Below are 13,564 nucleotides of genomic sequence, written 5' to 3'. Positions count from 1 at the left end.
CATGTTTCATCTTGGACTCCCAGAGCAGCTGGTTTCAGCTAGGGTCATGAAGAAAGACTGATGGGAACCTCATTCACTGTAGTCTGTGAATGATAGAGCACATTAGCCATCCCGCTGGGAAATAAATCTCCAGTGGAATGTCAAATAGATTCAGGAAGAAAAGTCAGCTGTGCATAGGAAGGTCAACAGGGTAGTAAGCTAGTCATACCTGGAGTCTGCCTCAGTGGTAAGTTATTCTAAGATATTCCTACTTTTTGCAACACATTCTTTCATTGTACTTTGTGACCCAGGGTAGGTGGCACAGTGTGGTGGGGAAAAGCACAGACTCTGGACTGAGCTGCTTAGACTCACGTCTCTCCTCAACTATTTTCTAGTAGTATGACTTTGAACCTTTCTAGGCCTTAGTTTTCTCATTTGTAAAACAGATAAGAATAGTGCCCTCTTATTTGGGTTATATTCCATGAAATAATTTACATAGAATTTTGAACACAGTGCCTGTTACACAGTGTGTGTGTGTGTGTAAAACAGCCTGTTATATATCTTTATATCTATAGACCCTTAAGATTGTCAAAAAGCTTCAGATTTGTCCGCCTGTCTTCTCTAACAGTGGCTTGTGGTCCTGATTGCTTTTTTATGTATTTGAGTCATAATATTGCCTATATATTGAAAAGGGAAGAATGCCTGCAATATGCAACTGTAGTGGTTTTATAATAGTATTACAGTGATGAATGCCAGTTAAACAGTGAGCTCTAAATAAGGAATGTGTTTTCTGTGGTCTGGCCAAGAACCACTCTAACACTAGTTTTTCCCCCTTCACATGGATATGACAGTGTGAGGTGAGATGCTGTGAGTGCATGGCAGAGACTGTTTGGATTATTTGTGAGCCATCATATCACTAGTTGAGTTTAGCCGAGATTAGATAATTTGCAGAGCAGTAGCCCAGTAGAGTCATAGCCACAACATAGCATTTCAACCTCCTGCCTGAGCAGATTCTAGCACTTAGGTTTTCTACAAGAGCATTAGCAGCCTTCCCGTGTTATTGTTATTATTTTTTAAACCAACAAACTCAACACTTGGAATCTCCAAACACCAATACTACTTACTGAATTCTTGGAGAATAGTGTAAACATTTCTTATCTTAGATTTAAGTACAGTTACACCAGAAGGACACAGCATCAGTATCCATGCATATTCTAAAAGTAGAAATGATTCCTATAGAGCTATTGTCCTAGTTAATGGGTTTTAATATTATCCTTTCTTTTACCTCATAGTTTGTTATTGTTCCCAAATGTCTTAAACATCTAACTTTAATTTTATGTTAACTTAAAAAACTTAAGAAACACACTTAAGGACACTTTGATTTTACTGAGCAGTATATATAATAGAGCAGTTTTAACATGTCTTCCAGGTTGCTAAATAGAATTCAAATTTAATTTCTGATTAATACTTTCTTGCTGAATTTTAAAATTAATTTTCCAGTGTTGAGAAGATTAAATAAAAACATGTTTTTTGGAAGGGAAACAGCAGTTTTCAAATCAGGTTCCCAGGAACACCGGTGTTGTGGGATACCCTGGGTTGGGGGAGCAGCGGAGGAAGGTTTCATTTGCCAAAGAGATTGGAAAGTAGCATTTTCTGGTTGAAGAGATTTATGGTACACATTAGCATACTAAAAAGAGAAAAATTCTGTGGGAGAGAACCCTGTTTAATCCAATGTTTCCTAATTCATTTGGTCTTGGAATCTTTTGTCAAAGAGTATCTATTAATCTCCCTTTGGGAAATCCTGCAGTAGAGTTTTAAAGTGAGTGCTTTCAAGCAAATTTAATTAATATTGTATTAATTTGAGTTACAGATCTGGATGGGGCCTAGTTAATTTGGTGGTCATTGCAGAAATGTTTTCTCACAGCCCTTCTTTTTTAAATTTTTTTTGAAACAGAGTTTGGCTCTTTTTGCCCAGGTTGGAGTGCAGTGGTGTGATCTTGGCTCATCATAACCTCTGCCTCCCGGGGTTAAGCGATTCTCCTGCCTCAGCCTCCCGAGTAGCTGGGATTACAAGCATGCACCAACACGCCCGGCTAATTTTGTATTTTTAGTAGAGACAGGGTTTCACCATGTTGTTCAGGCTGGTCTCGAACCACTGACCTCAGGTGGTCTGCCTGCCTCAGCCTCCCAAAGTGCTGGGATTACAGGCGTAAGCCACCACGCCCAGCCCTCACAGCCCTTCTTATAGGTCAATTATTTTCTAATTTATGGATGACTTACCCTTTTGGTTCTCTTGAATTATAACTGAGCTATTTCTTTAATTGTCTAAAATTCTCATACCCTAACTTCCACCTACTTATCTTGGGCCAGCCCCCCAGAATGATATAAAATGTATATGGCAGCTCTTGAATACCTGAAGAAACTATTTTGTCCTCCTTCACCACGTTTTTCTTTTAACTTGTCAACCAGATAGTTCCATTTCCTTTATTTTATTCTCATGTGATAAGATTTTCTATCATACATTTCTAACATATTCTCTTTCAGTTTTTATATTTGAAATTTTTAAGGCTACTGAGTTGAAGACAGAAAATGAGTTGAAGGAAAGTCTGCCATGTAATCAGAGCTATACAATGCCAGAGCATGCACAGAAGTTACCTATGTTATGATCTCAACTATGTTTATATTATCTTCTACCTTTCACCTCCCTGCCTTTGTACATGTTCAGCTATTTACTTACCTTTATAGCCGCTTTTTATTTCTACAATGTAGGATAATTCCTGTAGTCTTAACTACTTTAAAGTTTTTCTAAAAAGAACATGTACTACTTTTAGGCTGGGCGCGGTGGCTCATGCCTGTAATCCCAGCACTTTGGGAGGCCAAAGTAGGTGGATCACGAGGTCAGGAGTTTGAGACCAGCCTGACCAACATGGTGAAACCCTGTCTCTACTAAAAATACAAAAATTAGCCAGGTGTGGTGGCATGCACCTGTAATCCCAGCTACTCAGGAGGCTGAGGCAGGAGAATCACTTGAAACTGGGAGGCAGAGGTTGCAGTGAGCCGAGATTGCACCACTGCACTCCAGCCTGGGTGAAAGAGTGAGACTTCGTCTCAAAAATAAATAAATAAATAAATAAATAAATAAACAAACATGTACTACTTTTATTGTCAAAAAAGAACAAGGTAATGTTACTTTGTAAAAACTTAGTCATTCCCACTCTTAATTTGCCAGGGCAAGGCAATTGGATAATTCATCTCCTTTAAAGGAGTTAAGGGCTGATAATGACTAATGTGCTAATTCCTCCTAAGTGTATTTGCATTCTAACCAAGGAGCCTTTGGACAGGGGTCTACAGACTATGGCCTGTGGGCCAAATCCAGTCATGACCTTTTTTTTTTTGTTAATGTCCCTGAGCTAAGAATATGTTTTACATTTTTAAATAATTGAGAACAAAAGAAGAAGAATATTTTGTACCATATGAAAATTATATGAAATCTAAAATTCATTGTTCATAAATAAAATTGTATTGAACCCAGCCACACCCATTCATTTATGTGTGGTTATATACTATATGGCCCTCAAAGCCAAAAATACTTTCTGGCCCTGTATTGAAAAAGTTTGCTGACCTCTGCCTTAGGGTGAGGTTTTGTATATATTTAAGGGAAAGTTTTGTGTATATTCACTTGAATGGTGAAGACAGGATGGTCTTCTGTATTTTCCCTAAATCGGTTTATGAAGGTGGCTTTCCTTTCCTGTATGTAAATCCAGCTGTGGTTCTATGAATGTGATTTTCTACCATAACTGCTTTTGTGAATGAGCTTTCCTCTTTGATTTATTTAACAAAATGGTATTTGAATAGGCCAGTTCAGTATATTGCTTTACTACTTAGACAGAATTTTATTTCTGTGATAATTCTCTGTTGCCGGAAGTCAGGGACCCCAAACGGAGGGACCGGCTGAAGCCATGGCAGAAGAACATGGATTGTGAAGATTTCATGGACATTTATTAGTTCCCCAAATTAATACTTTTATAATTTCCTATGCCTGTCTTTACTGCAATCTCTAAACACAAATTGTGAAGATTTCATGGACACTTATCACTTCCCCAGTCAATACCCTTGTGATTTGCTAGGCCTGTCTTTACTTTAATCTCTTAATCCTGTCAGCTGAGGAGGATGTATGTTGCCTCAGGACCCTGTGATAATTGCGTTAACTGCACAAATTGTAGAGCATGTGTGTTTGAACAATATGAAATCTGGGCATGTTGAAAAAAGAACAGGATAGTGCCCCCGCCTGGCAGCTGCCCCATCTGGGAGGTGGGGGGCGCACCCCCGCCCGGCAGCCGCCCCATCTGGGAGGTGGGGGGGGCCGCCCCTGCCCAGCAGCTGCCCTGTCTGGGAGGTGGGGGGGCGCCCCCGCCCGGCAGCCGCCCCGTCTGGGAGGTGGGGGGGGCGCCCCTGCCCGGCAGCTGCCCTGTCTGGGAGGCGGAGGGGGCTGCCCCCGCCCGGCAGCCGCCCCGTCTGGAAGGTGGCGGGGGGCGCCTCTGCCCGGCTGCCCCGTCTGGGGGGTGGGGGGCCCCTCTGCCTGGCCGCCCCATCTGGGAAGTGAGGAGCCCCTCTGCCCGGCCGCCACCCTGTCTGGGAGGTGTACCAAACAGCTCATTGAGAACGGGCCATGATGACGATGGCGGTTTTGTCCAATAGAAAAGGGGGAAATGTGGGGAAAAGAAAGAGAGATCACATTGTTACTGTGTCTGTGTGGAAAGTAGTAGACATAGGAGCCTCCATTTTGTTCTGTACTAAGAAAAATTCTTCTGCCTTGGGATGCTGTTGATCTGTGACCTTACCCCCAACCCCGTGCTCTCTGAAACATGTGCTGTGTCCACTCAGGGTTAAATGGATTAAGGGCGGTGCAAGATGTGCTTTGTTAAACAGATGCTTGAAGGCAGCATGCTGGTTAAGAGTCATCACCACTCCCTAATCTCAAGTACCCAGGGACACAAACACTGCAGAAGGCCGCAGGGACCTCTGCCTAGGAAAACCAGAGACCTTTGTTCACATGTTTATCTGCTGACGTTCTCTCCACTATTGTCCTATGACCCTGCCAAATCCCTCTCTCCGAGAAACACCCAAGAATGATCAATAAATACTAAAAAAAAAAAAAAAAAGAACAGGATAACAGCAATTGTTCAGGGAATAAGAGAGATAACCTTAAACTCTGACTGCTGTTGAGCCAGGTGGAACAGAGCCTATTTCTCTTCTTTCAAAAGCAAATGGGAGAAATATCGCTGAATTCTTTTTCTCAGCAAGGAACATCCCTGAGAAAGAGAAGGCGACCCTGAGGGTGGGTCTCTAAAATGGCTCCCTTGGGTGTGGCCGTCTTCTATGGTCGAAACTGTAGGGATGAAATAAACTCCAGTCTCCCATAGTGCTCCCAGGCTTATTAGGAAGAGGAAATTCCCGCCTAATAAATTTTGGTCAGACCGGTTGCTCTCAAACCCTGTCTCCTGATAAGATGTTATCAGTGACAGTGGTGTCTGAAACTTCATTAGCAATTCTAATTTTGCCCCAGTCCTGTGGTCCTGTGATCTCGCCCTGCCTCCATTTGCCTTGTGATATTCTATTACCTTGTGAAGTACGTGATCTTTGGGACCCACACCCTATCGTACACTCCTTCCCCTTTTGAAAGTCCCTAATAAAACTTGCTGGTTTTGTGGCTTGTGGGGCATCATGGAACCTACCGACATGTGATGTCTCCCCCAGACGCCCAGCTTTAAAATTTCTCTCTTTTGTACTCTGTCCCTTTATTTCTCAAACCGGCTGACGCTTAGGGAAAATAGAAAAGAACCTACGTGAAATGTCGGGGGTGAATTTTGCCCAATATCTGGCTGAATTTCTCCTGATAATTCTCTTTGAGGAAAGATGTGGTCATGAGTGATGATCTCATTGCAAATGTGACTTTCAAATAACAGTTCAGTTACGTGTGTGTCAAGGTTAAAGCCTATGCTAATGTAGAACTGAGGAAATGTTTCCTTTATCACTCAGATTAATCTGTTTCCTAACTAGACCACTTGGTAACCTTTTGCACATGACTTTCCATTTGCTTTTTGCCCTCTTAATGTATAACCCCGGCTTTGGTCTAGATTAAGGGTTTTATAGTGGTTGACACTGACAGATTTTCCTTATTTATTAGTATTATGATCAGTCCTTTAACTTATTTATTGATAATCTTGGAGCTATTTTTCAATAAATACAAATTACACATCCCTTTAAGAGTATTTCAGTTGTATGTACTGACCCATATTAGAATAGTCTAACATTCTGTCTTACATTCTGGGAACCATTATTAATTTTTATTGAATTTTGACAGATACAGATATTTTTCATGTGTGAACACTGCTGTCACTCCATTTTTTCAAAAGGAGTGTGACTAAAATATTTTTTTAAATCTCAGCTTTATTGAGATAATTTACATATTATAAAATTCATTTAAGTGCTTAATTGAACAATTTTTAGTAAATTTATAGAATTATGCAACTATTACCATAGCCTAATTTTAGAATATTTTCCTCACCCCAAAAAGAAACCTTGTACCCATTTGTCCTGTTTCTCCCCTGCCTCCAGCCGTAGACCACCCCTGATAAAGTTTCCGTATCAATGGATTTGTCTTTTCTGGATATTTCACATAAACAGAATCATATATGTTGTTTTCTGTCTGGTTTCTTTTAGTTAGCATAATATTTTTGAGGTTCATCCATGTTGTGGTATGTATCTTCCTTCAGTCCCTTTTATTGTCAATTAGTATTCCATTCTATAGATAGATCACATTTTATATGTCCACCTAAGAGTTGATGGACATCTGGGTTTTTTGCCACTTTTTGACTCTTGTGAACAATGCTGCTATAAACATAAATGTGCAAGACTTTGTGTAGACACATGTTTTTATTTCTTTTGCACATTTCCCTAGAAATGGAATTGTTGGGTCATATGGTAGATCTTGTTTAACATTTCAAGAAACCTCCAAACTATTTTCCAAAATGGTTGCATCATTTCACCTTTCCACTAGCAATGTTTAAGGATTCCAGTTTTTCTGCATTCTTGTTAACACTTGTCATTGTCTTTGATTTTAGCAATCCTAGAAGGTGTGAAGTGTTAGCTCATTTTAATTTTAATTTTAATTTTGCTAATGACTAATAATGTTGAGCATCTTTTCATGTGCTTATTGGCCATTTGTGTACATTCTTTGGTGAGTTGCCTGTTCAGATCTTTGCCTATTTTTGTTTTTTATTTTTTGAGATGAGGTCTTGCTCTGTCACCTAGGATAGGGTACAGTGGCATGATCATAGCTCATTGCAGCCTCAAACTTCCACCATAGCCTCCCAAGTAGCTGGAACTACCGGTACATACCATCACACCTATTTATTTATTTATTTATTTATTTAAGACAAGGTTTCACTGTGTTGCCCAGGCTGGTCTCAAACTCGTCTCAAACAATTTTCCCACCTAAGCCTCCTGAGTGTAACCAACTGCCCAGTGGACTCTTCTTGCCTGCTGCCTAGATAGAGCCAATTTATCAAGGCAGGGGAATTGCAATAGAAGAGTTTTATACATGTAGAGCCAGCAAAACAGGAGACTGGTGTTTTATTATTACTCAAATCAGTCTTCTCCAGAATTCAGAGGCTTGGGGTTTTCAAGGATAGCTTGGGGGAAGAGAGGCAGTTGGCTAGACAATGGGTGCTTTCTGCAGATTGGTTGAGAGTGCTATCATAGGGCTGTTGGAAATGGTCCTTATGAACCTGTGTCATTTCTGGGTGGAGCCAAAATAGTAATTGGTGGGTTCAGGTGGAGCCAGCAGTTGTCAGATATGCAAAAAACCTGAAAAGACATCTCAAAAGGCCATATTAGCTTCTGCAATAGTGATGCTATCTGCAGGAGTAATTGGGGAAGCTGCATATCTTACGACCTCTGGAATAATGATGGGTAACCATTTATGTCTGTACCTTAGCAGAATTTAGACTCCTCTCATCCCTTAGTCTGGTGGTCTCTCATTAGCTTTACAAAGGCAGTTAGTTGAATTTGGGGGAATGGCTATTATCATTTAAACCAGGGGTTTCCAACCCCTGGGCCACAGACCAGTTTCTGTCTGTGGCCTGTTACAGCAGGAGGTGAGTGGCCAGTGAACAAGCATTATCACCTGAGCTCCACCTCCTGTCAGATCAGCAGTGCCATTAGATTCTCATAAGAGTGTGAACCCTATTGTGAACTGTGCTTGCCAGGGATGTAGGTTGCATGCTTATTTATTTATTTATTTATTTATTTATTTATTTATTTATTTGAGACGGAGTCTCGCTCTGTTGCACAGGCTGGAGTGCAGTGGCACGATCTCGGCTCACTGCAAGCTCTGCCTACCGGGTTCACGCCATTCTTCTGCCTCAGCCTCCTGAGTAGCTGGGACTACAGGCGCCTGCTACCACGCCCAGCTAATTTTTTGTATTTTTTTAGTAGAGATGGGGTTTCACCGTGTTAGCCAGGATGGTCTGGATCTCCTGACCTCGTGATCCGCCCGCCTTGGCCTCCCAAGGTGCTGGGATTACAGGCGTGAGCCACCGCACCCGGTCGGTTGCATGCTTGTTATAAGAATCGAACACCTGATGATCTGAGGTGAAAGTTTCATCCTGAAACCATCCCCACCACCCTGACCCTGGTCTGTGGAAAAATTGTCTCCCATGAAACCAGTCCCTGGTGCCAAAAATGTAGTGGGCCACTGATTTAAATTATAAACTAAATGTCTCCCAATAATTAAGGGCAGTTTGAAGGCTGGACTGCCCAGTTTGGTGGGGTTGGTTAGATCTGATCTCTTTCACTACCATAATTTTCTTACTCAAGTAATTTTCACAAAGGCAGTTTCATGAGTAGCTGGGATTACAGTTGTGAGCCATCCCCCCGGTTCTCTTTGCCTATTTTTAGATTGGGTTTAAATGCTCGTATTGTTAAGTTTTTAAAAAATAATGTATGCTTTTGGTATCATACATAAGAAATCTTTGCCTGACCCAAGGTCATAAAGATTTACTGCCATGATTTTATCTAACAATTGTGTAGCTTTAGCTGTTACATCTAAGTCTATGATTCATTTTGTGGAAAAGGTTCAAGCAAATGATTTTGCGTAAGGATATTCAGTTTCCCAGCATCATTTGTTGAAAAGGCTATCCTTTCTCCACTGAATTGCCTTTGTTCTTTTGTCAAACACCAGTTGTCCATAAATGTACAGGTCTATTTCTGGACTCTCTGTTCTGTTCCATTGATCTATATATCTATTTTTATTGAAAGTGTTTTGTTTTACGATTCATTATTCAGTCTTGAAATTTGATTTATCTAGACACTTTCCAGCCAGTCATTTACCAGACTAATTTAGATGGATAAGAGTTTTAGGGGTGGAGGGCAAGCTTCCTTTTTGCCCTCTTTGAAGATTTGCTGAAATGCTGACAACAGACAGATTCATAGGAGAAAAAGGCATACAGATTTATTTACGAATGCGTAGACTTGGAAGTCCTTCAAATATGAGACTCAAAGAAGGGCCAGATGGTTAGGGCTTATGTACCCTCTTCACAGGGGAGAGGGAAGGGGGGCGTATAGGAAATTTTAGAGGGGCAATAAATGATTTTCAGGGGAAATGAATGAGCTTAAAGAACAATGGCCTGGGTACAAAGTTCCTCTGAGCTCTGGGGAAGCTGCTGGGAAGGTGAGGGGCAGAACTTCATTTGTCTTATTATTCAGATAAAGTCTTTTAGGTAATCTCTCTGAGCTGCCCTGAGAAGAATAGATGAAAAGTCTGTCTGGGCATGGTGATGACTTTTAATCTCTTCTCTTTTCTGTGGTTAATCTTTCCTGGCTATTTGATGTAACTGCTAGAGAGAGGTCTTAAGGCAATTGCATTTCTTTTGGACAGAAATTTCCCTAGTCAGCTAAGGAAATTCTAGAGATCCTCCCTCTTTGCGCTTGGTGAGGAGTGGGAGAGAAACAAGAGAAGGTTAGAAAGTTAGGCAACTTCTAAAGACTTCCAATTTCTTCTCTTCAAAGTGCTCAGCATGCCAAAGCACCATACTTTGGAGGTGTCATTCTGTGCTCCTTAATAGGGGAAATACTTAGGAGGCTTGGCATGCAGAAGTGGACATTTCTCTTCAATGTGTTAGTCATTCAGAAGCAATTTACTTAACTCCAACTGTGTGGCAGAACATGATGCCAGGCACTAACTCCGATAGATGCCATGATGGGCCTTGGGGCAAACACAAATCCCCTGCTAGGAAGTCATTTGATGGGATTTGTGAATCCATTTCCTGAGTTTCTGTTTTTTTCCCTGTGATCCGGCAGGCATTCAAGAGCCCACAGCTGAGTGCATGGCTAAGGTCAAATGCAAAGTGTAGGTGACTAATCTTTTGTTTATTCAACAAAAGTTCTTTGAATATCTACTATATGAAAGGCACTGTGTCAGACATTAAGCATTTGCAGTGAGGACCAAAGACAGGGCCCTTTCTTCTTAAGGAAATTATTAATACATTTATGTATATTGTCTACATAAAACTATAAGTAAAATGATGATTGGTGTACTGGTATAATCCAAAGAATATGGGAGTGCAGAAGAAGGAAACCATCACTGCCTGGATGACGTTAGAATTTGACCTAGTAGGAAAAGTAAGATTTCAGTAACTAGAGGAGGAGTTATCAATAGAGAAATATCACAGCAGAGGTTTTAGAATGTGACCTCAAATATTCAGGAGACATTTTGTTTCAAAATCTCTCTTAGCCATCAGGAATGGACATGAAGCTCTAGTTAGGGCACTGGGACCTGAGCATCTTCCAGTAAACCCATAGCTGTTATGTGGTTCACTTTCAGAAGTGTGGCCCCTGATTTGCTAGGTGTTACCTGGCTCTAGCCTGCTCTTGGTGAAACTTGTCACTTTAAAAGGGAGTGTGCTCAGACAGGGGCTGGAGAGAAAATAACTTCCACTTAGATTTCAGCTTTAGTAAGAGACATCAGTGCAGTACCTCTTCTGTGACACTGGGCTTTTACAACTGGGAAAACTAGTTTTTAAGCATCTGTGGTCCGGAGATCTCTGTTGAGTAGACTAGAATCTGAAAGTTTGGCAGACTTATGATGTCATTTAGGAAGTGATCACTTTGAAACTTTTAATCCTCCTACAGAAAGTATATTTCTGTTGCAGAGATTAATTTAACAGGAGTGTATATAGCATCTGTCAAATTTTTAATTAAGTAATTAAAAGAATAAACCTGTATTTATAATTCCATTCCAAACATATCAGTTCCCCAGATATGATTTTGGGTGGTTTTATTTTAGAAAAATATGAATCGTGGTACTGGGGACATGGAGTGTCATCTGGATTTAAGGAAACATTCTTTGACAGGGAAGAGGTGTTAAGCATCAGAACGGATTGTAGCAGTGGCAGTGGTATCTCATCATCTGGGGGTGTCTTTAAAAATAGTTTTAGTGTTCCTCTCCTTTTGTCAGTTGTCTTGATCATAATCCTGGGTTATTTCAAAGGTTTAATGAAGAGGATGCAACCAGTTGCTCTCAGTTGTTTATTTTCAAGGACCCAAGGAAATGAGCTTATGTTTAAAGAGGAGTGAATTAGTTTGCATATAAAGTATCTGAAAGTATCAGAGTATCGTCAAAGCCTTAAAACTATAAAATATGCTATGAAGAGACCCCTAGATTTTCCAGTCCTTGAGACTTGAAAAAAAGAGATGAAGCAACCACTTGTGTCATGCCTATCCTAATCTCTCACCTTAGGAAATAATGCTCTGAAAGGGACACCGGGAAGTGCCCATGATGGCATGACCAGAAGGTGTCTGCACTCCTGGCTGGCTGCACCTTTCCTGGAGCTGTATCTACCAGTGGATTCTGTTACTTGCCCAGCACTAACCCCGCTCTATGAGGACCTTGCTTCCTCTCGAGTCTGCAGCCTGACTCATATTGTAACCATTCCAGCAAGTGGCTCACTGTTCGGTTAAGGATAGAGCCATGTAAGACATTATCCAGGAAGTAGATGAAGTTAATTTTTGAGGTTCAGGTAGTTCTTTGATTGTGTGTGTGTGTGTGTTGAGATTATAGGTCAGGCATTGACAACCTATAGCTCATTTGACAAAAGCCCCAAAAGAGATGATTCAGCTCAGAAGTATTCAGGGTAGTTGCCACAACCAGCACTTTAATCAGAATTGCAAAGTAGTTGAAATTTTTATTTGTCACATCCTTATATTCCTTTTCTGATGCTTCTCTTCCCACTCACCAGCTGCCCAGGGTCTTCAGACTGCCTTTTACCTGGAATCATACCATGCCCTGCACTGCAGTGCTACTCCCCTACATGTTATTCCATCTTATCACCAACCATGATTAAGATTTCTTTAAAACCAATGATAGGTAGGTATAAAGAGAAAGTCAGTCTGGTAAAGTGACCTTGTGTTAGAAGCACATGACTTGAGAGGTTGCTGTATCTGTCCCAGGAGCTCTCTTTTTTTGTTGTTGTTTCAAAGACAGAATGCTTTTACTTGAATACATCTCTAAATTTATAATGATCAATTTGAATCTGATTTATGAATTTGGTATAACGTTACAAGAGAGTCATTAGCTGGGAGGATTTGATGAGGAAATACACATTTTTTGAACTAGTGTGAATTTTGATCATGATATAAATTTAAATAAAACTAATTTAAAATTATTTAAAATAACCTTTGCATGATTTTTATTTTAAAGTATTTACAATTCTGTTTTAAAAGCTTTTCAGTAAAAGCTGGAATTTAAAAATATAGTGGAATCTCTTTAAAACAGTGGTGGTAAAGAATAAGACTGTAATGGTGTCATTATAGACTACCTGTGTCAAGCAGACTTTGTTACACCTAGTTATATTTTTTAAGTCATGGCACACAGATGAACTATGTCTAATTAGCTATTAGTATTATAATAGCATTCTACTTCGTTGTCATTATTTGTCTTTATATTACAACCACACATTTTCACTTATTTCCATCAAAATTTTGTTTCCTTGATTAGGTTTTCTCCTTAGACACGTTAAGTGATAATGACCCTTGCTTTCCCAGCTTTTTCTTTCTTTTGCCCAAATTATGAGAAAGTAGGAGGAGTAGGAAAAAGGTGAGCATAGTAAGGATATGGATTGGTTTCTCCTCTTTTCCTTATGCTGGTGTTAAAAATTGCTCTTGACATAGTAGTACTTACCATGATTTTTTTAAGGTGAAAAAGAGTTTAAAGAAAGATTTATATAAGTAATGAGCTAGGAGGATATTTGAAAAACCTGTAAAAGGTAATGCCCATATTCTCCTGCCAAACAGACAGAATACTGGAAAGAAGCATCCTTAGTCTTATCTAAAATACCTCCTCCTATTTTTTTTTTTTTTTTGAGACGGAGTCTCGCTCTGTCGCCCAGGCTGGAGTGCAGTGGCGGGATCTCGGCTCACTGCAAGCTCCGCCTCCCGGGTTCACGCCATTCTCCTGCCTCAGCCTCCCGAGTAGCTGGGACTACAGGCGCCCGCCACTACGCCCGGCTAATTTTTTGTATTTTTA

At 40.5% G+C, this 13,564-nt stretch overlaps 1 protein-coding gene across 9 annotated transcripts in view, besides 4 other annotated features; it reads left to right on the top strand.

Annotated features, from left to right (window-relative positions):
* Positions 1–13,564, top strand: part of DST (dystonin) — a 496,835-nt gene that overhangs the window by 229,340 nt on the left and 253,931 nt on the right. The gene's annotated exons all lie outside the window — the stretch shown is intronic.
* Positions 7,990–8,530: an enhancer, noted in NCBI's record as "H3K4me1 hESC enhancer chr6:56581759-56582299 (GRCh37/hg19 assembly coordinates)". NCBI's record gives its function as "activates a minimal SCP1, AML or CMV promoter by ChIP-STARR-seq in naive H9 embryonic stem cells {active_cell/tissue: H9 hESC(naive)}" and the evidence as "EXISTENCE:reporter gene assay evidence [ECO:0000049][PMID:30033119]".
* Positions 9,733–10,294: an enhancer, noted in NCBI's record as "NANOG-H3K27ac hESC enhancer chr6:56579995-56580556 (GRCh37/hg19 assembly coordinates)". NCBI's record gives its function as "activates a minimal SCP1, AML or CMV promoter by ChIP-STARR-seq in naive and primed H9 embryonic stem cells {active_cell/tissue: H9 hESC(naive and primed)}" and the evidence as "EXISTENCE:reporter gene assay evidence [ECO:0000049][PMID:30033119]".
* Positions 10,295–10,855: an enhancer, noted in NCBI's record as "NANOG-H3K27ac hESC enhancer chr6:56579434-56579994 (GRCh37/hg19 assembly coordinates)". NCBI's record gives its function as "activates a minimal SCP1, AML or CMV promoter by ChIP-STARR-seq in primed H9 embryonic stem cells {active_cell/tissue: H9 hESC(primed)}" and the evidence as "EXISTENCE:reporter gene assay evidence [ECO:0000049][PMID:30033119]".
* Positions 11,021–11,070: an enhancer, noted in NCBI's record as "active region_24703". NCBI's record gives its function as "activates an Ori minimal core promoter by ATAC-STARR-seq in GM12878 lymphoblastoid cells {active_cell/tissue: GM12878}" and the evidence as "EXISTENCE:reporter gene assay evidence [ECO:0000049][PMID:35858748]".

The sequence above is a fragment of the Homo sapiens genome, chromosome 6 (genome assembly GCF_000001405.40).
Source record: "Homo sapiens chromosome 6, GRCh38.p14 Primary Assembly".
Taxonomy (NCBI): domain Eukaryota; kingdom Metazoa; phylum Chordata; class Mammalia; order Primates; family Hominidae; genus Homo; species Homo sapiens.
Note: the sequence above shows the minus strand (reverse complement) of the source record. Positions and strands in the feature narration are given on the sequence as shown.